Below are 26,646 nucleotides of genomic sequence, written 5' to 3' on the forward strand. Positions count from 1 at the left end.
AGAACAGGCAGGCTAAAAAAAGAACCACTTTCAGCTGGGCGCAGAGGCTCACTCCCAGCACTTTGGGAGGCCGAGGCAGGTAGGCCACAAAGTCAGGAGTTAGAGACCAGCCTGGCCAATATGGTGAAACCCCATCTCTACTAAAATTACAAAAATTAGCTGGGTGTGGTGGCCCATGCCTGCAGTCCCAGCTGCTCGGGAGGCTGAGGCAGGAGAATCGCTTGAACCCAGGAGGCGGAGGTTGCGGTGAGCCAAGATCGTGTCACCGCACTATAGCCTGGCCGACAGAGCAAGACTCCATCTCAAATAAAAAAAGAACCACCGTCCTTTTTAGGGTTTCCCTAAAACTAATCTAACTTAGAAACCTATAAATGTGGCCGGGCGAAGAGGCTCACGCCTGTAATGCCAGCACTTTGGGAGGCCGAGGCGGGTGGATCATGAGGTCAGGAGATCGAGACCATCCTGGCTAACACAGTGAAACCCTGTCTCTACTAAAAATACAAAAAAATTAGCCGGGCATGGTGGCGGGCGCCTGCAGTCCCAGCTACTCGGGAGGCTGAGGCAGGAGAATGGCGAGAACCTGGGAGGCAGAGCTTGCGGTGAGCTGAGATCATGCCACTGCACTCCAGCCTGGGCAACAGAGCGAGACTCTGTCTCAAAAATAAAAAAAAAAAAGAAACCTATAAATGTAAGTAACAAAGTCAGGAGAATGTGATTGAGGCATCTGTAGACCACCTGTATTTCTATTCAGTTATACGCCCTCTGCAGCCAGTCTATGTCTCAGATCATAAGTACCTAAAGCAGGTGGTGGCGGGGGGCAGAGCAGTGGAACTGTTAAGCACTTAGCGCAGAAGCACAGGGGTTTGATTCATCTATCCATGCAACAAATGCTCAGTCCCCCTTATCCGCGGGTCCACCTTCTACAGTGTGAGTCACTCCCGGTACAGTACAAGGAGACGTTCTGAGAGAGAGAGAGACAGGCCACATTCACATAACTTTTTTTTTTTTTTTTTTTTGAGACAGAGTTTTGCTCTTGTTGCCCAGGCTAGAGTGCAATGGCGTGATCTCGCTCACCGCAACCTCCACCTCCCAGGTTCAAGCAATTCTCCTGCCTCAGCCTCCCAAGAAGCTGAGATTACAGGCATGCACCACCACGCCCGGCTAATTTTGTATTTTTAGTAGAGACGGGGTTTCTCCATGTTGAGGCTGGTCTCGAACTCCTGACCTCAGGTGATCCGCCCGCCTCAGCCTCCCAAAGTGCTGGGATTACAGGCGTGAGCCACCACACCCGGCCACATTCACATAACCTTTATTGCGGTACAGTGTTACAACTGTTCTATTTTATTATTATTAGTTGTTGCTGTTAATCACTTACTGTGCCTAATTTATAAATTAAACCTTATCCTAGTTATGTATGTACAGAAAAGAAACATAGTATATTTGGTTCAGTATTATCTGTGGTTTCAGGCATCCAATGGGGGTCTTGGACTGTGTCCCCTGAGAATGAGGGGGGATTACTGTATTACTATATTAAGTATCTCCTTGGATCAGGCACAAATGCCTGTAGCGCACAAATACATACACTCGTCTACAGAACTGAATAAGAAAGAAATGGTTTCTGCCCGGGTGTGGTGGCTCCCGCCTATAATCCCAACACTTTAGGAGGCCGAGGCAGGCAGATCACTTGAGGTCAGGAGCTCGAGACCAGCCTGGCCAACAAGGTAAAACCCTGTCTCTACTAAAAATACAAAAATTAGCTGGGTGTGGTGGTGCGCACCTGTAATCCCAGCTACTCGGGAGGCGGAGGTGGGAGAAACGCTTGAACAACAGGAGGTGGAGGTTGCAGTGAGCTGAGATTCCACCACTGCACTCCAGCCTGGGTGACAGAGTGAGGATCTGTCTCAAAAAAAAAGAAAAAAGAAAGAAAGAAGTGGTTTCTAACTTCACAAATCATATCATCCAGCTGCTAATACAGTCATGATGCTAAAGGCCTTTACATAAAAAGGCGTGGGGTACAGAGGGAAAAAGTACCATGTACAGTAACCATTTCAGAGCAAACACCAAATGTGTGTTCCAATGCACCAAGGAGATACAAACGGACAGAATTTAAGAGACAGATAACACATGCTTTTATAAAGGATGTCAAAATATTGACAATTTAGCTTTATCTCTGTAAATAAGTTATACCAGTTCTATTCCACATTCTACTCTCAGGAAGTGCTGGGAATATTCCCTAGTAGCCCCAGTTGAGAATTCCAGAAAAGGTCAGTTCCAACTAAGCAATGAAAACAGGTAGATCAGAATGTAACTACAAAGACTTGGTTCATCCATGTTAAACAACACCATGGGCCAGTCGCGATGGCTCAAGCCTATAATCCCAGCACTTTGGGAGGCCAAGTCGGGTGGATCACCTGAGGTCGGGAGTTCAAGACCAGCTTGACCAACGTGGAGAAACCCCATCTTTACTAAAAATACAAAATTAGCCGGGCATGGTGGCACATGCCTGTAGTCCCGCCATTGCACTCCAGCCTGGGCAACAAGAGCAAAACTCTGTCTCAAAAACAAAACAAAACAAAAAAAATATGCAGATACAATCAGTGTAATCTAATTGTGGAGAAACCACAGGATGAACTATTGCTTTAATAAACTACAGGAAAAGAAAAACACAAACCCAAAAAGGAGAAGGAGACAGACTTAAAAAGATGAGAAATATATCAACCACTTACAGGTATGGACTTTATTTAGATTCTCACTGAAACCATTTTTCAAACAATTTGTAACTAAAAAAAGAGAGAGAGACTATTGGGGAAATCTGAATGCTGCTTAGATACTTGATGATATTAAAGAGTTACTGTTAATATTTTTAGGTATTTTTAAGTATGATATTGGGATTCTTCTTTTGCAAAACATACACTGAAATACTTGTTGAAGAAATGATAAGATATGTAGCTTCAAAATAATCACAAGAGGGCCGGGCATGGTGGCTCACACCTGTAATCCCAGCACTTCGGGAGGCCAAGGCAGGAAGATCACTTGAGGTTAGGAGTTCAAGACCAGCCTGGCCAATACAGTGAAACCTGTGTCTACTAAAAATACAAAAATCACCCAGGTGTGGTGGCAGGCGCCTGTAATCCCAGCTACTTGGGAGACTGAGGGAGGAGAATTGCTTGAACCTGGGAAGCAGAGGCTGCAGTGAGCCAAGGCTGCACTACTGCACTTCAGCCTGGGCAACAAGAGCAAGACTCTGTCTCAGAAAAGAAAAAAATCACAAGGGGGATGAAGGTGGAGGTGAAATGGTGGGTGGAGGAAAAGATGAAATAAAATTGGATGTATGATGACAAGTGTTGAAGGTGACGATGAACACAGGCAGTTCATTTTCTTCTCCCTATTTTTACAGAATGTTTGAAATTTTCCACTATAAAAAGGTTACAAACAAATCATCTTGGCTCTTGTCCTTGGACTCTGATATGAGGTCCTGCTCCACACCCAACAGTCCTAACTGTGGCTTCTGGGAGCAGCCTAAAGTGAGCCCCTTGCAACAACATGAGACTTACAATTCCACTCAGCCACGGCGCAGCCCAGACAGAGGCAGTTAGAGAGGGAGATGGAAAGGAATAGGAAGGAACGGGAAAGAACTGGAAGGAAGAAAATGAAGACAAACCAAGGCGCCAGGGTGAGGTGGGAGAAGCATACACTCACCAACAGCAGACAGTGCAACAGTAGGTTTCCTTGTGTCTCTGAAATATAAAAATAAAAAATCAAATCCCCAATTTATATGCCACCACCCACCTGGTATTTTTCACCCTTTGCACACAATTCTTCGCTTTCCTTTCAGTGGGAACTTGGAGTAGGTAGATCCGCTGTGAGGGCCTTAAAAAGAAGTCTAAAGAGAGACCTGCTGGCCAGGTACGGTGACTCATGCCTGTAATTCCAGCACTTCAGGAGGCTAAGGTGGGCGGATCACCCGAGGTCAGAGTTCGAGACCAGCCTGACCAACATGATGAAACCCCATCTCTACTAAAAATACAAAAATTAGCCACGTGTGGCAGGCACCTAAAATCCCAGCTACTCGGGAGACTGAGGCAGGAGAATTGTTTGAACCCAGGAGGCAGAGGTTGCAGTGAGCCAAGATCGTGCCATTGCACTCCAGCCAGGACGACAAGAGCAAAACTCTGTCTCAGAAAAAAAGAAAGAAAGAAAGAAAGAAAACAAATTACAGGCCATGTACAATGGCTCACACCTATAATCCCAACACTTTGGGACACCAAGGTGGAAGGACTGCTTGAGGCCAGGAGTTTGAGATCAGCCTGACAACACAGCAAGACTCTGTCCCCACAAAAATAAAAAATAAAAAAATAAAAATTAGCTGGGCATGGTGGCAAGTGCCTGTGGTCCCAGCTACTCAAGAGGCTGAAGTGAGAGGATCACCTGAGCCCAGGGGTTCAAGGCTGTACTGAGCTGAGATGACATCACTTCACTGCAGACTGGGTGACAGAGTAATACCTTGTCTCAAAAAAAAAAAAAAAAAAAAAAAAGAAAGGAAAGAAAGAGAGGAAGGAAGGAAAGACAGGAAGGAAGGGGGAAGGGTGAAAATGAGGGAGGAAAGGAGGGAGGGAGGGAAAGAAGGAGGGAGGGAAGGAGAGAGGGAGGGAGGGAGGACAGACTCTAACTAGGGAAGAGTTCTCCTTAAGGTCTTGCCTGGAGAGGTCCTGGCTCTCTTCTCTATCCCCCTACAACTGTGTCTTTCACTCTCAAATAATATATTTGCGCTCAAATCTCTCACTCAAACTTGTCTCGAGGTCTGTATCGAGGGGAAACCAAACTAAGACACTTGATCTCTAAAACAAAGGTCCCAAATCACCCCCAACCAAGTGGTTATGCCTCCTAATTGTTCTTACTTGATATCCCAAATGTAGATGTAGGTGTCCACAGAGCTGGTAACCAGGAGGTCAGGCTCAAACACCGCCCAGTCCAAGTCGCTGGGACACAAAGAATAAACAGAACAAAGAAAAGGAAAAAAATTCAGAGTCCAGGTCCAAAGCACTAGCACATCGAGTCTCCAGTGGCTTCAGAATGTCATCATTAACGGGCTTCTTAATGTGGTTTAGGCTGAGAATCTCCAAAGTTCCTTGGGAACGAACATGAGTTTGGAAGGAAACTGTCAGGTCCTTCGCCAGCTATACCATCATCTGCTCCCAGAAAAGAAATGGAGTGCTTCAACTTAAAACATTCTCTCTCTGGGCTGAGCGCAGCGGCTCACGACTGTAATCCCAGCACTTTGGGAGGCTGAGGCGGGCAGATCACTTGAGGTCACAAGTTCGAGACCAGCCTGGCCAGTATGGTGAAACCCCGTCTCTACTAATAACACAAAAATTAGCCAGGCGTGGTGGCACACACCTGTAATCCCAGCTACTTGAGAATCATTTGAACCTGGGAGGCAGATGTTGCAGTGAGCTGAGATCGTGCCACTGCACTCCAGCCTGGGCAACAAGAGTGAAACTCCATCTCAAAACAAACAAACAAACAAACAAACAAACAAAATTTCTCTCTCTAAATAAACAAACAAAGGAAAAACACATAAAGTAATCTTTATCATTTTCTAAATCAAATTCCACCAGAGGCACCTTGGGTAAACCCAACATCCTTAAGCAGCGGCAAACTGCCACACTGCCATGCAGCACCCAGAGAGGGCCAGAGGCCTGTGGTGTCCCCTACCCATGTTCTCCTTCCTAGACAGGCAGCAACTGCACAGAACATTCCACCCAACCCAGGTGTCTCACCTTTCCCAGCACTTCCAGGTCAGCTTAGCCCAGAAACAGTGACCCAGGGAAAGAGTGGATCAAGGAAAACTCGAAACCAACTGGAAGCCTCGACTGGGAGGCGGCTGTGCCCTTGGGTAATGAACTGTGACGCAGGAGCTCTGTAACCGCTGCTGCCGGAGAGAAAGCCAAGGGCCACTCCCTGACATCCACATGTCCTCCCAGGCACCACTGATCATGAACTGGGGGATTCTGCTGCATAACCACTCCTCTCCTATGTTGAAAATCAGCTCTAGGCCAGGCACAGTGGTTCACGCCTGTAATCCCAACACTTTGGGAGGCCAAGGCAGGTGGGTCACTTCAAGTTAGGAGTTCAAGACCAGCCTGGCCAACGTGGTAAAACCCTGTCTCCACAAAAAAAAAAAAAAAAAATTAGCCGGGCGTGGTGGTGCACACCTATAATCCCAGCTATTCTGGAGGCTGAGGCAGGACAATCACTTGAACCCAGGAAGCGGTGGTTGCAGTGAGCCAAGATCGCACCATTGCACTCCAGCCTGGGCGACAGAGTGAGACTTCGTCTCAAAAAAAAAAAAAAAAAAAAAAGTCAGCTCTAATCCTTTACCCTGGACTGGACTATATCCATCCGGGATATGGTCTGGGATGGGGGTCAACAGCTACGCGATGGTACTTCCTAAATGCCGGCTGTTCCTCACTGTGCTCTTCACCACCATCTCAGTGAATGCTAATAACCCGCTGACCACCCGGGACCTGTGCAACACAGACAGTCAAGCCATGCAAGGAGGACGGCATCATCATTTCGTTCCCAGGGGACTGTGACAAAGCAAGACAGCCAAAGAGCTGTGGAGGGCTGGTGCCTACCTGATGACACGAGTGTGGCCTTGTAAGGTTGTGCCAACTTCCCCACTGCCGTCTTTCCACTTGTAAAGGTCTACTCGTTGGTTACTCTGAAAAGAAAGGAAAGAAGGCCACAGGCAAGTATGTTGGGATATATGGTCTTGCCCCAATCAGCTTAAGGCAGTGAAGAGGAAGCCAGGGATCTCATGCATGGCAAAGATCCTTCAGGCTGAACTTTTCTTTAAAAAGCCATCAGGAATAAGTACAATTAACATTAGCTTGAGCTAACTTCAGCTCAGTATGTAGGTCTGTGAATCTCAAAATGGAAAGGCAGGACTATCTTAAGAGATGCATCTTGAACAGTCACAGCTGAACTGAAGGTGCAGAAGCACTTCTGCAGACGAGCTTCATGGGCCAGGAAAATGTCCCGGCCACTAGAGGAACCTCCTCCCTCTGAAGGTCACACACTCGTCTCCCCAGCTGCTGGTACACTGGATGTCTCCAGCTCACCCTTCCATGACCAAATGCCCAGAGTCCACCTACCACAGGTTTTTGTTTTTTTTTTTTTCTTGAGATGGGATCTACATTGCCCACGCTTTTCTAGAACTCCTAGGCTCAAACAATCCCCTTGCCTCAGAGTCTAGGATAGCTGGGATAAGGTGTGAGGTGTGAGGACTGCGCCATCACAACTGGGTCCCGTGTCACTTTAAAAACATAGGTGCATAAGAGAGAAAAAAGAGGCTGGGCTTGGTGGCTCATGCCTGTAATCCCAGCACTTTAAGAGGCTGCTTGAGCCCAGGAGTTCAAGACCAGTCTGGGCAACATAGCCAGATCGCATCTCTACAAAAAAAATTAAATATTAGCCAGTCATGGTGGTGCATGCCTGTGGTCTCAGCTACTTGACAGGCTGAGGTGGGAGGATCGCTTGAGCCTGGGAGGTCGAGGCAATAGTAAGCTGTGATTGTGCCACTGTACTCCAGCCTGGGTGACACAGCAAGACCCCATCTCAAACAAAAAAAAAAAAAAAAAAAAAGAAAAGAAAAGAAGAAAGATCCTCAAAAGGGTGTCCTAGAAGGCAAAATTATTTAACACTCCTTGAAATAATGCCTGTATTTAATTTCTTAAAGGGTTAAGCAGAAAGTGACAAGGAAAATGGACCAGAAGAAACCACAGCTACAATAGAAAAATAACTTCCATCAAAGTACATTTCACTTAAATACACAACAAAACAGCAAAGGCTCCCGACATATCATGACTTTATGAAACACACTGAAAGTGATAAAGATTACTAGTAGGCTGAAAACAACGGCAGGCTACTTAATAATTTTTTAAATTATATATATATATATATACACATTAGACTGATTGTCATTTTAGCTCAGAGACAGACAGACGTATAAAATTCTGAGATTTTTGTCCTGAAATACCAGTTTCCAAATTGAAAAAGGTAAGATTCTTGTGAAAAGGTTAGGATTCAAAATAGCTTCCAAAGAGAATAGGAATGAAAAGAAAAGTTCCCTCTTCTAATAATATTCCCTGCCATTTCTGGAGGGTCTGCTAGTGCCAGTCCACCTTAACGAATCTGGCCTCTGACCTCTCCCAGCACACGACACAGCGGGTATCATCACCCACATTATAGATGAGGCAAGCAAGGCTCAGAAAATTGTGGGGCCTCTCAAGATAAAAGACAGAATGTTAAAACTAGGACTTGACCTCAGATTTCCCTAACTAAAGCTTTCTCAAAAGGTTGCCTTCCAGCCAGGGGCAGTGGCTCATGCCTGTAATCCCAGCACTTTGGGAAGCTGAGGCAGGGGGATCGCTTGAGGTGAGGAGTTAGAGACCAGCCTGGCCAACATGGTGAAAGCCCATCTCTACTTAAAAATACAAAAATTAGCTGGGCATGGTGGCACGTGCCTGTAGTCCCAGCTACTTGAGAGGCTGAGGCACGAGAATTCCTTGAACCTGGGAAGCAGAGGCTGCAATGAACTGAGATGGCGCCACTGCACTCCAGCCTGGGCAACAGAACGAGACTCCGTCTCAAAAAAAAAAAAAAAAAGTTGCCTTCCAACCAAGAACAAAAGAAAAAAACAGATAAACTTCATTAAAATTAAAGCTTTTGTGCATCAAAGAACACTGTCAAGAATGCAGAAAGACAATCAACAAAAGGGAAGAAAACATTTGCAAATCATACATCTGATAAAGGTCTAATATCCAGAATATATAAAGAACTCCTACAACTCAACAGTAAAAATGCAAACAACCCAATTCGAAAAAGGGCAGAGGCAAGGCCGGGCGTGGTGTCTCATGCCTGTAATCCCAGCACTTTGGGAGGCCGAGGCAGGCGGATCATGAGGTGAGGAGATCGAGACCATCCTGGCTAACAGGGCGAAACCCTGTCTCTACTAAAAATACAAAAAAATTAGCCGGGCATGGTGGTGGACGCCTGTAGTCCCAGCTACTTGGGAGGCTGAGGCAGGAGAATGGCGTGAACCCGGGAGGTGGAGCTTGCAGAGAGCTGAGATAGCACTACTGCACTCCAGCCTGGGTGACAGAGCGAGACTCCGTCTCAAAAAAAAAAAGAAAAAGGGCAGAGGCCTTGAATAGACATTTCTCCAAAAAAATGACATATACGTGGCCAATAAGATACTCAACATCCTTAGTCACTGGGGGAATATAAACTAAAACCACAATAAGGCTGGGTGCGGTGGCTCATGCCTGTAATCCAAGCACTTTGGGAGGCTGAGGTGGGTGGATCACCTGAGGTCGAGAGTTTGAGACCAGCTGGACCAACACGGAGAAACCCTGTCTCTACTAAAAATACAAAATTAGCCAGGCGTGATCATGTGTGCTTGTAATCCCAGCTACTTGGGAGGCTGAGGCAGGAGAATCGCTTGAACCCAGGAGGTGGAGGTTGTGGTGAGCCGAGATCATGCCACTGCACTCCAGCCTGGGCAACAAGAGTGAAACTCTGTCTCAAAACAAACAAACAAAAAGACATAACAAAGTACCACCTCACACCTTCACACCCACTAGGATGGCTATAATTTTTTTAAAAATACAAAAAATAAATTTTGGAGAGGATGTGGAAAAACTGGAACTCTGTGCATTGCTGATGGGAGTATAAAAGGTTTAGCCACTGTGGAAATAGTTTGGTGGTTCCCTCCAAAAGTTAAACACAGAATTACCATATGACCCTGCAATTCCACTCTTAGATGTTTACCCAAAAGAAGCAAAAACAAGTACCTCCACACATATGTTCATACCAGCTCTATTCAATAGCCAGTCAAATGTCCTCTGATGGATGGACGGATAGATAAACAATTACACAATGGAATATTATCCACTGATAAAAAGGAATGAAGTTCTGATACCTGCTATAACATGGATGAACTTCAAAACATTATGCTAAGTAAAAGAAGTCAGACACAAAAGGCCACTTGTTTTATGATTTCATGTCTATGGAAGATCCAGAATAGATCAATCCATTGAGACAGAGCGCAGACTGGTGGTTGCCAGGGGTTGCAACGGAGGGAGGAATGGGGAGAAACTGCTTAATGAATAAAGGGTTTTACCCGGGAGGGATAGAAATGTTTGGGAATTGGATAGAGGTGGTGGTTATACAACATGTGAATGCAGTGAAGGATACTGAATTGTTCACTTTAAAATGATTAATTGTGAAGGAACAAATTTTAAAAAGGCTGTCTTTGTTAGCACTCCCGAACAAATGCAGTGTTAATCCACTGAGTACAACAACTGAGGCGTCAGCCTAAACCCAATCAGAGGTGATTTTGCTTCCCAGAGGACATCTGACAGTGGCTGGAGACATTTTTGATTGTCATAACAACAGGTGGGGAGCATACTACTGAGATCTAGCAGGTAGGGCCAGGGATGCTGCTGAACTTCCTGCAACGCACAGGACAGCCCCACCACAAAGAATGACCTAACAAGCCAGTAGTGCCAAGGTTAAAAAACCCTGGACTAGACGATCAGGGGCCGAGGGTGAGAGGGAAATAAGGGTCCCGAGGTATAAACCAACTAAAAGAGCTCCTTCTAGCACTCAGGAAAGAGGCCTGAGAGTAGAAAGGCAGGAAGACTGACTCTGCCTTTCTCTTTGAGAATAGCCCTGAAAATCAGCGCAACCTCGGACATCCACAGTTAAAGGCAGACTCTATTTTGGAAATAGCTGGGAAGGGCGGCTTTCTGTTCCTTCTCAAGCTGACAAAGTTGCTCTTCTTTCCTTGCTCAGTTGCTTTCCTTCTGCAGACTGCCTTTCCTGACAAGAACAGACTGAGACAGACTGCACAGTGGTCCTGCCCCTGGTGAATCAGAAGAATTCCTTTAAATACTCTCCTGCCAGCCCAATGCAAAAAGAGCAAAAAGTTTAGATCTCTCATTATTCTAGAATACAATGTGACACAGAATCTGGAGAAAGATGCCAGACAGGTTGTAGTCCAGAATCTTTTTGTATAAAGAAAAGATTTTTGTATTAGAAAACCTAACAAAACTTATACATGTTTTCCCTAGGGAAAAAAAAAATCACACATAAACAGGCACATAGAATTTGATGGGGTTAACGAAATCTAATGATTCCCAATCAAGGAAGAATCCCTTCCTTTGAATAGAAGGGTAGGGGGAGTCTTCTGATCCCTCTGAAAGCAATGAAGGTCAACTCCACACCAGCTCGCCAGTTACCCTCCTTAGAATGTCTTTCAAAGTCATCTGCCATTTGTCCGCTGGCTAGTTACATTGCTGCTGATGAAACAGGTTCTCACCACTCACAGAAATGGATGCATCTGCCTGTTTCCCTTTCAAAATCTGAATTCAGTCCCTAGTAATACAAGGCCTGACACCGATGGGACCAGCGAGCATTCCCACGTATATTTAATCCGTAACTTGCCTCTGTCTTTTTCTCAGAACCATCCAAACCTCTTTTCCAAATGAGCAATGAGGACTGCATTCTCTTCTCTACACAGGGCATAGATCTGCCAGCCCCAGATGACACATTTAACAGCATTCTCCTGTATTCCTTAAATAAGCTCACCGAAGCCGCAAAATAGTGTGCAAAGCTGTCATGAGGATTCCACTGCACAGCTCCAATGTCCCATTTGCTCTGGCGAGAGATCTTTCGGTGACCTTCGAAAGGGGCATCTAGATTGACGATGTATAAGAATCTGCGGCTAGAGACCAACATCAACATTATAATAGTATAAAAACACAACATCATTAGCATTAAGATAGAAAAGCACAATTGGAATTGCATACAATTTGCAAGCAGTGCTCCAAAAAACCCAAACACACATGGCATTTATTTACTCTGAAAGGCAAAGAAGTGACAAGTGTAATTCAAGGTGGCTGTCACACAAAGGGAAGAAGTGTCCCTGTGAGAGTCCCACCTCCAGAGATGGCCTTCCCTACCACATCCATCCATGAGAGTCTGGATTCACCTCCAACCTGCCCTTCTCCCAGCCTTTCCCAATCCCCCAGCTAGGGTTAATTACTGAATTAATTAATTCCACATTACTCCCATTGCATAGTTTGCATTTTGACCACAGCATTTATCTTGTAGCAGGACTAATAATTTAAGGCTCTTGTCCTGAATCAACTAAGTGTTCAGAGAATGAACTATGTCTTGAATATCTTTTTTTTTCTTTTTTTTTTTTTTTTTGAGACAGAGTCTCGCTCTGTCACCCAGGCTGGAGTACTGTGGTATGATCTCAGCTCACTGCAACCTCCGCTTCCCAAGTTCAAACGATTCTCCTACCTCAGCCTTCCGGGTAGCTGGGATTACAGGCACCCACCATCACGCCTAACTAATTTTTGCATTTTTTGTAGAGACGGAGTTTCACCATGTTGGCCAGGCTGATCTCGAACTGCTGACCTCGGGTGATCCACCTGCCTCAGCCTCCCAAAGTACTGGGATTACAGGCACAAGGAACCATGCCCGGCTGTCTTGAATATCTCTGTATGCTTCACATCGCCAGGCTCAGTGCTCTGCACTCAACAAATGTGAGTTAAATTAAACATATCACTTATTACTAAGCCAAAATCCTGTAGAAGCAGAAAATCTCAAAATTCCCCTTACTACTTCCTGGTCAAGAAAACTCAACTAAATCTATCAGGAGGGTTAACAATAACAACAAAAAGGAATAATAATTAAAATAACATATGAAGTGCCAGTAATGTTTAAGGTTCCAATCAACATGAAGGATCTGAAAACAGGGAGGTTCTGCATTCACCTATTTTCTTTTTAAGTAAAATACCCTTGGTGTGTGAATCAACATCTCTGCAGCCATCAGCTATTGATTCTTTGCTAGAGACCACTCCAAGCCCCTGGAGATCAATGAGAATAGGCAGGCTCAAAAATGAAGAAAAAGATTAATCATCCCTGCTCAGAAGAGCCAGGAAATGGCATACAAAACTCTAGGTGGTAGCAGAACTCTGAGGAGAGAAGATGGAGGGAGAAGAAGAAAAGCCAGGGGAATACACAATTTCACAGAATTTCCAGGACTTCTAAGAAAGTGCAGAACAAATATCACATAGAATCTCTGGCCTGCTCCAAAGGAATCACCTGATCCTGCGATGGCCAGCTGGCATCGTCCCATCAGAAGAACAACAGGACAAGGCTAGTAGCTATACATGTGAGGTGAGTATCAATAGGGGGCTGCAGAGACTTTACAGGGCAAATGTACAAAGGCAGAAAGTGGGCACTTCAGGGTGAACACGCCTGATGGAACATAGGTGTTTATCTTCATTTTCCCCAATGCTCCACTATAATAAGAGTAAAGAAGACAAAAAACCTCCAAAGACAAAGAAAATGAGACAGGAAATGAAAAACAGGTGGACAAATGGTAATTGATCTAAAGAAAGCTAAATAGGCCAGGCATGGTGGCTCACAACTCTATTCCCAGCACTTTGTGAGGCCAAGGTGGGTGGATAGCCTCAGGTCAGAAGTGGGAGACCAGCCTGGCCAACATGGTGAAACCCTGTCTCTACTAAAAATACTAAAAAATTAGCTAAACATTGGTGGCAGGCACCTGTAATCCCAGCCACTCAGGAGGCTGAGGCAGGAGAATTGCTTGAACCTGGGAGGCAGAGGTTGCAGTGAGCTGAGATCACACCACTGCACTCCAGCCTGGGGGACAGGCTGAGACTCCATCTCAAAAAAAAAAAAAAAAAAAAAAAAAAAACAAGCTAAATAAAGCCAAAGTACATGGAGAGAGAAATGAGTGTGAAGCAAGTTGCTTCCCCCCAACTGGAGGCTTTTGTCTCAAGACAAGGGCAAGGGGTAGGGCTAGAAGACAACAAGCAGAACAAAACTAGGACACCTGTTTGAAAGACCACTAAGGAGGCCGGGCACAGTGGCCCACGCCTATAATCCCAGCACTGTGGGAGGCCGAGGCGGATGGATCACCTGAGGTCAGGAGTTCGAGACTAGCCCGACCAACATGGAGAAACCCCTGACTAATAAAAAAAAAATTAGCCAGGCATGGTGGTGCATGCCTGTAATCCCAGCTACTCAGGAGACCAAGGCAGGAGGATCACTTGAACCTGGGAAGCAGGGGATGCAGTGAGCCGAGATCGCACCATTGCACTCCAGCCCGGGCAACAAAAGCAAAACTCCATCTCAACAAAAAAACACTAAGGAGAGGGTTATGTGCAACCCATCCACCCAGGTGGCTGCCTCAGTGGAGAGTGGGTGCTATTCTCCCCTAGAGCAGCCCCAGACCTGGGAAGTGGGAAGTGCTGCACTAAGTCATTCCTCTCTCTATGCAGCACTCACGACTCTGCCTTTTACTCTTCAGATAGACTTCTCAGGAGAAAATAACCAGCCCAGGAAAAAACAAAAGCAAGCAAACAACAACAAAACTCTGCAGACAATGACATTTGGACATCCACTAACAGGGCCTGGTTCCCACCTGATCTCCTCCACCGTCTACCCACTTAAAGAGAGATGCCAGTCGCTCTTTAGCATTAGCAGCCAACGATCTCAGTCACCGGAGGAAACCTGAAGGATAGGGACTAATGCAACAGAAAGGAAAAAAGCCTTCATGGTTGGAAGCAGCAGCTCACACTGGAACTCTTAGTGCTGCAGGCCGAGGCAGAAGCATCGCTTGAGGCCCGGAGTTAAGACCAGCCTGGGCAACCTGGCAAGACCTTATCTGCATAAAGAAAAAAAAATTATAATAAAATAAAATAAAATTAGCCAGGTGTGGTGACATGTGCCTGTACTCCCAGCTACTGAGAAGGCTGAGATGGGAGGATTGCTTGCCCAGCAATTCAAGGCTGCAGCGAGCCATGATTGCACCACTGCACTCCAGCCTAGGTGACAAAACAGAAAAAGAAAAGGAAAGAAAAAACTCCTCCCTTGCCTCCCCACCGCCCTCCAAAATAATAACAATAAGAAAAAAAAAAAAAGAGGAAGAAGAAAAGAAGAAATTCAAAGGAAACGGCGATAAATGCAGAAGAGAAAAAATCTTGGAACCAATATTTTCCAAGAGTTAAGAGACAATATAAATAATAATAAACATTAAAACAATAGTTGAAATTTTTTGAAAATTAAAATAGTTGAAATTTTTTTTTTAAATCTGAAAGTAGTGTTAGAAGCTAAAGTTTAGGCCGGGCGCAGTGGCTCACACCTGTAATCCTAGCACTTTGGGAGGCCGAGGCGGGTAGACTGCCTGAGCTCAGGGGCTTGAGACCAGCCTGGGCAAAACGGTGAAACCCCGTTTCTACTAAAATACAAAAAAGTTAGCTGGGCATGGCAGCGTGAGCCTGTAATCCCAGTTACTTGGGAGGCTGAGGCAGCAGAATTGCTTGAACCCAGGAGGCAGAGGTTGCAGTGAGCCGACATCGCGCCACTGCACTCCAGCTTGGGCAACAGAGCGAAACTCCATCTAAAAAAAAGAAAGAAGCTAAAGTTTAAAACTCCCAGAAGGCAAAACTGACGAGGCCAGAAGCAAAGTCATACAAGATATCCAACATTGACTACTAGTAGGAATTCCAACAAGAAAGAATGAGAAGAGAAAATGAGGTCAGGTACGTGGTTCACATCTGTAATCCCAGCACTTTGGGAGGCTGAGGTGGGTGGATCACCCAAGGTCAGGAGTTTGAGATCAGCCCGGCCAACACAGCAAAACCCCATCTCTAATAAAACTACAAAAATTAGCTGGGCTTGGTGGCGCTCACCTGTAATCCCAGCTACCTGGGAGGCTGAGGCATGAAAATCGCTTGAACCCAGGAAGCAGAGGTGGTTGCAGTGAGCCAAGTTTTCATCACTGCACTCCAGCCTTGGTGACAGAGCAAGATTCCGTCTCAAAAATAAAAAAAAAAAAAAAAAGAGAGAGAGAAAGAAAATGGGAAAATAAAAGGGAGAAAATGATCAAAGACATAATACAGAAACATTTCTCTAAACTAAAAGATACAGATTTCCAGATTTGAAGGACCTTCCAAGGTTCTAAAAAAAATTTCTGTATCTTAATCAGAATGGTGATTACATGAGTATATATATTTGTAAATTTCAGCTATTTACTTAAGTTTACCACACTTTATACAATTTACTACACATATTGTAAAATTCAGTATAAGAAAATGCCAGGTGCAGTGGCTCACGTCTATAATCCCAGCATTTTGGGGGGCCAAGGCAGGAGGATCAACTTGAGCCCAGGAGTTCAAGATCAGCCTAGGCAACACAGGGAGACCCTGTCTCTACAAAAAAAAAAAACTTAGCCAGACAGGCGTGGTGGTACATGCCGGCAGTCCCAGCAGTTTGGAGGTTGAGGTGGAAGGATCACTTGAGCCCTGGAAGTCGAGACTGCAGTGAGCCGTGATCTGCATTCCAGCCTAGGCAACAGAGTGAAACCTTGTCTCAAAACAACAACAACAACAAAAAAAACCCAATATAAGAAAATGAAAGTTCTAGGTCTTTCAAGAATTACCACACTGTTTTCCACAATGGTTGAACTAATTTACATTCCCATCAACAGTGTAAAAGCATTCCTATTTCTCCACAGCCTCACCAGCATCTGTTGTTTCTTGACTTTTTAATAATTGCCACTCTGACTGGCGAGAGATGGTCTCTCATTGTGGTTTTGATTTGCATTTCTCTAATGATCAGTAATGATGAGCTTTTTTTCATATGTTGGCTGCATAAATGTCTTCTTTTGAGAGGTGTCTGTTCACGTCCTTTGCCCACTTTTTAACGGGGTTGTTTATTTCTTGTAAATTTGTTTAAATTCCTTGTAGATTCTGGATATTAGACCTTTGTCAGATGAATAGGTTGCAAGAATTTTCTCCCATTCTGTAGGCTGTCTGTTCACTCTGATGATAGTTTCTTTTGCTGTGCAGAAGCTTATTAGTTTAATCAGATCCCATTTGTCAATTTTTGCTCTTGTTGCAATTGCTTTTGGTGTTTTTGTCATAAAATCTTTGCCCATGCCTATGTCCTGAATGGTACTGCCTAGATTTTCTTCTAGGGTTTTTATAGTTTTGGATTTTACATTTAAGTCTTTAATCCATCTTGAGTTTATTTTTTTATAAGGTTTAAGGAAGGGGTCCAGTTTCCATTTTCTGCATATGGCTAGCCAGTTCTTCCAGCACCACTTGTTAAACAGGGAATCCTTTCCCCATTGATTGTTTTTGTCAAGTTTGTCAAAGATCAGATGGTTGTAGATGTGCAGTCTTATTTCTGATATCTCTATTCTATTCCATTGGTCTATATGTCTGCTTTGTGCCAATACCATGCTGTTTTGGTTACTGTAGCCTTGTAGGATAGTTTGAAGTCGGGTAGCGTAATACCTCCAGCTTTGTTATTTTTGTTTAGGATTGTCTTGGCTATACAGGCTCTTTTTGGGTTCCGTATGAATTTCATAGTTTTTCTAATTCTGTGAAGAATGTCAATGGTAGTTTAATGTGAACAGCATTGAATCTATAAATCACTTTGGGAGGTATGGCCATTTTCACGATATTGATTCTTCCTATCCATGAGCATGGAATGTTTTGCTATTTGTTTCTGTCCTCTCTGATTTCCTTGTACAGTGGTTTGTAGTTCTCCTTGAAGAGGTCCTTCACTTCCCTTGTTAGCTGTATTCCTAGGTATTTTATTCTCTTTGTAACAATTGCGAATGGGAGTTCATTCATGATTTGGCTCTCTGCTTGCCTATTGTTGGTGTATAGGAATGCTTGTGATTTTTGCACATTGATTTTGTATCCTGAAATTTTGCTAAAGTTGCTTATCAGCTTAAGAAGCTTTTGGGCTGAGACAATGGGGTTTCCTAGATATAGGATCATGTCATCTGCAAACAGGGACAGTTTGACTTCCTCTCTATTTATTTTTTCTTTTTTCTTTTTTTTTTTCTCTCTTCCTATTTGAATATTCATTATTTCTCTTGCCTGATTGCCCTGGCCAGAACTTTCAATACTATGTTGAGTAGGAGAGGTGAGAGATTCCTGAAAGACCTAGAGGCAGAAATACCATTTGACCCAGCAATCCCATTATAGGGTATGTACCCAGAGGAATCTAAATTACTCTATTATAAAGATATGGCCAGGTACGGTGGCTCATGCCTGTAATCCTAGCACTTTGGGAGGCCGAGGTGGGTGGATTGTCTGAGTTCAGGAGATCAAGACCAGCCTGGGCAACATGGTGAAACCCCGTTTCTACTAAAATACAAAAAATTAGCCAGGCATGGCAGCGTGCACCTGTAGTCCCAGCTACTCGGGAGGTTGAGGCAGAATTGCTTGAACCCGGGAGGCAGAGGTTGTAGTGAGCAGAGATCATGCCACTGCACTCCAGCCTGGGTGACAGAGAGACTCCGTCTTCAAAAAAAAATACAAATAAAAATAAAGATACATGCACGCATATGTTCAGTGAAGCACTATTCACAATAGCAAAGACATGGAATCAATCCAAACGCCCACCAATGATAGACTGAATAAAGAAAATGTGGTACATATACATCATGGAGTACTATGGAGCTATAAAAAGGAAAGAGATCATGTACTTTGCAGGGACATGGATGGAGCTGGAAGCCATTATCCTCAGCAAACTAACACAAGAACAGAAAACCAAATACTACATGTTCTCGCTTATAAGTGTGAGCTGAACAGTGAAAACACATGGACACAGGGAGAGGAACAATGTACACTGGGACTTGTTGGGGGGCCAGGGGGAGGGAGAGCATCGGGATAAATAGCTAATGCATGTGGGGCTTAATACCTAGGTGATGGGTTGATAGGTGCAGCAAACCACCATAGCACACGTTTACCTACGTAACAAACCGGCACATCCTGCACATGTATCCTGGAACTTAAAATTAAATTAAATTTTTTTTAAAAAGAAGAGAAAATACTTCAAGAGGCCAAGGCAGAGGCAGATGGATTGCTTGAGTCTGGGATGTCAAGGCTGCAGTGAGCCGAGATCACATCAGCGAATACACTCCAGCCTGGGTGACAGAGTGAGACCCTGTCTCAAAAGAAAGAAAGAGAAAAAGGGAGAAAGAGAGAGAGAGAGAATATGAAATGAGGCCAAGGTGAGAGGATTACTTGAGCCCAGCAGTTCAAGACCAGCCTGGGCAACAAAGCAAGACCCTCATCTCTAAAAAAAAGAAAAAAAGAAAGAAAATGAAATATAAAGATTCAAGATCATGTTGAAAAATAGTAAAAATGTGTGCCAAGCACGGTGGCTCACACCTGTAATCCCAGGACTTTGGGAGAATAAGCCGGGCAGATCACTAGGTCAGGAGTTCAAGATCAGCCTGGCCAATATGGTGAAACCCCATCTCTACTAAAAATACAAAAATTAGCTGGGCATGGTGGCAGGCGCCTATAATCCCAGGTACTCGGGAGGCTGAGGCAGGAGAATCACTTGAAACCGGAAGGCGGAGGTTGCAGTGAGCCGAGATCGTGCCACTGCACTCCAGCCTGGGCAACAAGAGCGAAACATCATCTCAAAAAAAAAAAAGAGCAGGGAGCTGGAGGCAGAAAAGAGATACCAACTTTCCCTTATCTAGGCACCCAGTATGACACACAAAAAAATGATATAAATAATTTTCTCCAGGGAGGTGGTCAGAGGTAGGAAGGAAATTTACTTTTCATTGTATATCCTTCTGAAATTTTTACACGTTTACCATGTTGTATACTTTTTTAAAAAAGGTAAATTAAAACATAATTTCAAAATAAAGTAATGAAGCTGATAGAAAAGAAAATATTTTCACTGATTTGTAAATGGGTTCATAAACAACTACATTAATGAAAATACAGTGGATCCTAGAGGTAAGGACTGTACTCGAGAGCAACACGAAAGGAAAAGGGGACCATGACCATCAAAAAAAAATTTTTGGCTGGGTACGGTGGCTCACACCTGTTATCCCAGCACTTTAGGAGGCACTTTGGGAGGCCAAGGCAGGTAGATCACCTGAGGTCAGGAGTTCGAGGTCAGCCTGGCCAACATGGTGAAACCCTGTCTCTGCTAAAAATACAAAAAATGAGCTGGGCGTGGTGGCACGTGCCTATAATCCCAGCTACCTGGGAAGCTGAGGCAGGAGAATCACTTGAACACAGGAGGCAGAGGTTGCAGTGAGCCGAGATCGCGCCACTGCACTCCAGCCTGGGCGACAAGAGCAAAACTCCGTCTCAAAAAAAAAAAAAAATTTTTTTTTGAGATGGGGTCTTGCTATGTTGCCCAGGCTGGTCTTGAACTCCTTGGCTCACGTGGTCCTCCTGCCTCAGCTTCGCAAGTAGCTGGGACTACAGGCCATGCCTGGCTTGATTATTACATTTTATCCCAATAGTACGATGTTAGGGTTATTAGAAAAGCAGAGATGGCCCTTAATTGCCAGTCTTAAAAATTTTGAGCCAGAAGATGCTACAGAAACTTGTCATTCAGTTCCTTCATGATGAAATCAAATTCCTTCATGAGAAAACCAAAGTCCAGTTAAGCCAAACTGAATAAATGTCCAGGGGCTCACAGTTAGTGGCACCGTCAAACTGGAACTCAGATTCCTTCAATCCTAGGAACCACCTGCTTCACCAAAATAGATTTCATCCTTCAGGTATGTAGTAGCAAACATCCTTGAGTCTTGCAGTAAACAGAAAACTGCAATTTCAAGTTCAAGCTACCAGTCACTAAAACTTCAAAGGTGTTTTATTGCTTACCTATTAGGGCAGAGATTAAAATAAACTGCAAATAATCCCTCCGAGTAGCCCTGAGGCAAACAGGATATCAGAACTAAACCCTATGATCATAATCCGTAAATATAAGAATAGCTTCCAAGTTCCCAGAAACCCCGATTTGCAAATCGTTTCCAGAAATCATGGCAGACAAACTCGGCAAGCTTACTTACCCAGAAAGCACTGCATGCTGCCCAAGACAGTCCACAGACATCGCAGTTGCCTGAGAGAGAGAACACAGAGTCAGTGCTGCCAGCAAACCCAGCCGGGGATAGAAGGCAGAGGTCTCTGTGGCTCTTCCTCTTCCTGTCTCCCAAGAAGTCCCCAGCTCGCAGGTATCATTAGTTCTCTACAGTGGATGCTTCTACCCACCCACTTCTAATTTACAACCCAATTCCACATTCACTTTTTTTATTTTTTGTAGAGACAGGGTCTTGCTATGTTGCCCAGGCTGGACTCCAACTCCTGGTCTCAAGTGATCCTCCCATTTCAGCCTCCCAAGTACACATTCATTTTTGACAATAGGGCAGTTGCTACCTGTTACCCCCACACCAAGACTACATGCAACCAAGCTGGTACATTCTAAATTGAAAAGACAGGCTGGGCGGGGTGGCTCACACCTGTAATCCCAGCACTTTGGGAGGCCAAGGCAGGCAGATCACCTGAGGTCAGGAGTTCAAGACCAGCTTGGCCAACATGGTGAAACCCCAACTCTACTAAAAATACAAAAATTAGCCCGGTGTTGTGGTGGACACCTGTAATCCCAGCTATTCGGGAGGATGAGGCAGGAGAATCGCTTGAACGTGGGAGGTGGAGGGTGCAGTGACTCGAGATTGAGCCACTGCACTCCAGCCTGGGCAACAGACTGAGACTCCATCTCAAAAAATAAATAAAAATAAATAAATTGAAGAGACAGAAGTCCTGGAGCCCATGGGGAGGCTGACTAGCTCAGAGAAAACAGCAGCTACTATGAACAAAGAGCCTTCTTGCAAGTGAAACCTAACCTGGACACCCCCACCCCACACACACCCAAGACACCCGTGACTTTCCAAAGGGCATGGACTTCTCCTCAAGCCATATGGCAGTTGGCAATATTCAGACACCACCCCTGCTGAATCCAAGGTCATATTCTGGATACTGACATCCCCAGGTCACATTCGCTCTGAAATTTCTAGTGCATTTAACTGGTTTCTATTTCCCGGGTCTCCCAATTCCCAGGGAGCACTATCACATCGTTTCAGGAGCCAACGTCTAACTCCCAAGAGACTGCAATGAGTCCAAAGAATGTGCATTCAGGCTGAGCACAAGGCTTATTTTAATCCAGGCAGTTATTGCCCTGAATTTCTTTGGACAAGTTCAAATCCTGCTGCACTCTCATGCCAGTATCATGAAACAGTTTGTGCCACTGTTTGGTTATTAAATGCTCTAAGTTCTCTCCAAGACAGTATCAACGAAGAATCCATTTTATACATTCTGCGACAATCACAAATCACAAATGGTAAGCACCTTCTTTCCCTCACCCTCGCTGGCCTTATTTAGTGGATTTCTCAAGTCATCTACCCTCAAGAAACATCACAAGTAACATTGGGGACAAGAAGCCAGAGTACTCTCACCGGAGGCTGCAAAGTGATTAACATGCATCCTTCAGTGCACCAGAGTCAGGAGCAGAGCGAAGCCCAGAAGGAAAGGCAGGCAGTGAAATGAGATGCCATTTCCAGGATTCCTCTGTGCAATTTACAGACAGTAAGGAGATGATAAGGAGGAGGGCAAGATGGTTCCTCTAACAAGATCTGTGTAATCTTTCTGGGGAGTCTGTGGTAGGCAGAATCCTAACAGCCCCCAAGATTCCAGGCCCTTGGTATATACACACCTCTTCCCTGCTATTCAACATTCACTGAACACAAATCTAGCTACTATTGGGAAGGGATTTTATGGATGTAATTAAGGTCCCAATCAATTGACCTTAAGATAGAACTCGGCTGGGCGCGGCGGCTCATGCCTGTAATCCTGGCAATTTGGGAGGCCAAGACGGATGGATCACCTGAGGTCAGAAGTTCGAGACCAGCCTGGCCAACATGGTGAAACCTCATCTCTACTAAAAATACAAAAATTAGCCGGGCATGGTGGCAGGCACCTGTAATCCCAGCTACTCAGGAGGCTGAGGCAGGAGAATCACTTGACCCCGGGAAGCAGAGGTTGCAGTGAGCCGAGACATGCCACTGCACTCCAGCTTGGGCAATAAAGCGAGACTCGGTCTCAAAAAAAAAAAAAAAAAAGATAGAAGACCTCAAACAACCCAAATGTCCACCAATGGAGGAACAGATAAACAAAATGTGGTACAGACATATAATGGAATATTATTCAGCCTTAAAAGGGAAGGAAATTCTGATACATGCTACAACATGGATGGAGCTCGGAAACATGCTAAGTAGAGTATCCCAGATGCAAAAGGACAAACATTATATGACTCCACCTAAAGCAGATGAACTCATAGAAACAAAAAGTAGAATGGAGGTTGCCAGGGTCTGGGGAAGTAGAGAATGCGGAGTTACTGTTTAATGGGTACAGAGCTCCTATTTGGGATGATGAAAATTTAGAGGACGGGGAGACTGAGAGATTTAGTCTCATCAGTCCTTTAAATCTATGTCTAGATGTCAGAGACAGGAAGTCAGAGATTAAAAGGGTGAGAGATTCAACATGAAGATTCGCATTGCTGGCTGCAAAGACAGAAGGACATGGCAAGGACCTGAGACAGCATGTAGGAGCTGAGAGTGCCTCGACTTCTGACCTACAGAACTGTGAGCTAATAAATGGATGTTGTTGTAAGATGCTAAATATGGACCGGGTGCAGTAGCTCACACCTGTAATCCCAGCACTTTGGGAGGCCGAGGCAGGCGGATCACCTGAGGTAAGGAGTTCAAGACCAGCCTGGCCAACATGGCGAAACCCCATTTCTACTAAATATACAAAAATCAGCCAGGCGTGGTGGCATGCATCTGCAGTCCCAGCTGCTCAGGAGGCTGAGGTAGGAGGATCGCTTGAACCCAGGAAGTGGAGGCTGCATGCAGTAAGCTGAGATCTTGCCACTGCACTCCAGCCTGGGCGACAGAGCAAGACTCTGTCTCAAAACAAAACAAAACAAAACAAAAACGGCAAATAGACTATCATAACTCACCCATATCAGAGGAAGTTATTTAAAAAAAAGAAAAACTACCACCACAACACCACCTACGTGATTTTTCCCACCACTACCCTAGAAAAAACAGGTTACCACCATGTTTGCAGGAGCACACTGAGGAAGCTTACACTAAGCTGTCCCAAAGAAGGAATGGAGAAAGGGAACACTGAGCAGAGGAAGTGAAAACGACCTAACCAGAGAAAGTCAGTGCTTTGTGGGGGAAAGGAGTCTGCAATCCAAGCCCTCTCCACCCTCAGCACACCAGGTGGGGAATTCTAGACGTGGGTTAAGAACCACGGGACTGTGGAATTTTTGTATGACCACACTGCAAGTGAGGAGGGGAAGCCCTGCAATGACTGAGATAGGATTTCCCAGCAGTCTGAAGAAAGGTGCCTGCTGGGGATTAAAGACAGGTTAGAGGTGTAAAGTGGCATTTTATATCCACTTACAGACTAAAATTTAAACTGGCTACTTATAAATATATATATATTATACATATTTGTTTTGTCTTTTGAGACGGAGTCTCACTCTGTCACCCAGGCTGGAGTGCAATGGCACGATCTTGGCTCACTGCAACCTCCACCTCCCAGGTTCAAGTGATTCTCAGGCCTCAGCCTCCTGAGTAGGTGGGATTACAGGTGCATGCCACTACGCTCGGCTAATTTTTTTATTTTTAGTAGAGACGGGGTTTCACCGTGTTAGCCAGGATGGTCTCAATCTCCTGACCCTGTGATCCACCCACCTCAGCCTCCCAAAGTACTGGGACTACAGGTGTGAGCCACTGCACCCGGCCTGTTTTTTTGTTTTTATTTTTGAGATGGAGTTTCACTCTCGTTGCCCAGGCTGGAGTGCAATGGCTTTAGCTCACTGCCACCTCTGCCTCCCGCGTTAAAGTGATTCTCCTGCCTCAGCCTCCCAAGTACTGAGATTACAGGCATGTGCCACCACGCCCGGCTCATTTTTGTATTTTTAGGGTTTCACCATGTTTCCCAGGCTGGTCTTGAACTCCTGACCTAAGGTGATCGCCACCTCAGCCTCCCAAATTGTCACACAGGTTGGAGTACAGTGGCATGATCTCAGCTCACTGCAGCCTCAAACTCCTAGATTCAAATGATCCTCCCACCTCAGCCTGCTAATTTTTGTGGGATTTTGGGGGGTTTTCTTGAGACAGGGTCTCAATTTTTTGCCCAGACTGGAGTGCAGTGGCTCAATCTCAGCTCACTGCAACCTCCGTCTCCTGGGTTCAAGTGATCCTGTCACCTCAGCCTCCCAAATACCTGGGACCACAGGCGCATGCCACCACACCCAGCTAATTTTTTGTATTTTTGGTAGAGATAGTGTTTCACCATGCTGCCTAGGCTAGTCTAGAACTCCTTTCCCTATTGTTAATTTTTGTCAACTTTGTCAAAGATCAGTTGGTTGTAGGTATGTAGCTTTATTTTTGTGTTCTCTATTCTGTTCCATTGGTCTATATGTCTAGTTTTCTAGCAGTACCATGCTGTTTGAGTTACCACAGCCTTGTAGTATAATTTAAAGGCAGGCAATGTGATACCTTGTCATTTGTCATTTCACTTAATTCTACTTATCTTCTAAGTCCCAAGACATACCTCCCCTAAGAAGCTCTCCCAGAATGGCATGAACCCAGGAGGCGGAGCTTGCAGTGAGCCAAGATGCGCCACTGCACTCCAGCCTGGGTGACAGAGAGAGACTCTGTCTCCAAAAAAAAAAAAAAAAAAAAAAAAAAAAAAAAGCAGCTCTCCCAAGGACCTCTCTAAGCAGGTTCCACCTTTTCCGAAAGCACTTTCTCTGCCCCTGCATCACAGAACTTGCCACAGCTTGCTGTGTTTAGTTATTGCTATACACATCTTTCTTCTCCCACTAGCTGATGAGCCCCTGCTGAGCATGGTCTATTTCATTTCTCCCAGAGCACCCAGCAAGTTGCTTTGTACACAGAGGTGCTCTGTAAAACTCTGTAGTATGAAAGATGGTTGCAGCTGGGCATGGTGGTGCACACCTATAATCCCAGGACTTTGGGAAGCCAACGCAGGAGGATTGCTTGGAGCCCAGGAGTTCGAGACCAGCCTGGACAACATGATTAAACCACACCTTTTAAAAAAAAAAAAAATTAGCCAGGAATGGTGTATGCACTTGTACTCCCAGCTACTTGGGGGGCTGAGGGGAGGATAACTTGAGCCCGAGAGGTTGTGGCTACAATGAGCAATGTTCACACCACTACACTCCTGGCTAAACGACAAAGCAAGACCCTGTCTAAAAAAAAAGCCAAAAAAAAGATGGTAGGTCAGAACCAAGTCAAAATCAAGGTCCTTCCAGCTCACAATGTGCCAAGGTGTTCCTCGACATCTCTGAGAATATTTTTGGTGGTTTCTCTTGATAATTCCCCTTAATAATTTATCACCCACGAGTTTATCTAAACTTTTAAAGTTCATTCGTTTCGTTAATACCTCCTAGGACAATAAACTTCAATAGCTCACTGCATGCTGTGTGAGACGTTCTATTAGAATAATGTGATGAACAAAATTTTGTTTCTGACAGTGGTCCCAAAAAAAAGAGAAAAAAAAGATTTGTGTACCTTACCCATACACTTTATACTGTAAAATTTTCATCAGTTTTCCTTCCTTCTTTCCTTCCTTTTTTTTTTTTTTTTTTTTTTTTGAGATGGAGTCTTGC

At 44.8% G+C, this 26,646-nt stretch overlaps 1 protein-coding gene across 10 annotated transcripts in view, besides 1 other annotated feature; it reads right to left on the minus strand.

Annotated features, from left to right (window-relative positions):
* The window catches only part of WDR59 (WD repeat domain 59), a 113,762-nt gene that overhangs the window by 73,458 nt on the left and 13,658 nt on the right, over positions 1 to 26,646 (minus strand). For 7 of the 10 annotated variants that reach the window (XR_007064915.1, XM_047434639.1, XM_047434638.1 and 4 more), the window contains exons 2-6: positions 20,954 to 21,003; positions 11,656 to 11,791; positions 6,639 to 6,724; positions 4,899 to 4,979; positions 3,700 to 3,737 (exon numbers count right to left, since the gene is read on the minus strand). Coding sequence is in view for 6 of the 10 variants with exons in the window: in XM_047434639.1 (XP_047290595.1) it covers positions 3,700 to 3,737; positions 4,899 to 4,979; positions 6,639 to 6,724; positions 11,656 to 11,791; positions 20,954 to 21,003 (391 nt within the window). In the remaining 4 variants the exon portion in view is untranslated. Of the gene's footprint in view, positions 1 to 3,699; positions 3,738 to 4,898; positions 4,980 to 6,638; positions 6,725 to 11,655; positions 11,792 to 14,530; positions 14,634 to 20,953; positions 21,004 to 26,646 lie in introns of all 10 variants that reach the window. The other 3 variants (XM_047434642.1, XM_047434640.1, XM_047434641.1) reach the window with 2 other exon arrangements.
* Positions 18,750 to 18,970: a silencer, noted in NCBI's record as "fragment chr16:74997467-74997687 (GRCh37/hg19 assembly coordinates)". NCBI's record gives its function as "represses an EF-1alpha promoter that drives an FKBP-Casp9 reporter gene in an ReSE screen in K562 erythroleukemia cells {active_cell/tissue: K562}" and the evidence as "EXISTENCE:reporter gene assay evidence [ECO:0000049][PMID:32094911]".

This window comes from Homo sapiens, chromosome 16 (assembly GCF_000001405.40).
Source record: "Homo sapiens chromosome 16, GRCh38.p14 Primary Assembly".
NCBI lineage: Eukaryota > Metazoa > Chordata > Mammalia > Primates > Hominidae > Homo > Homo sapiens.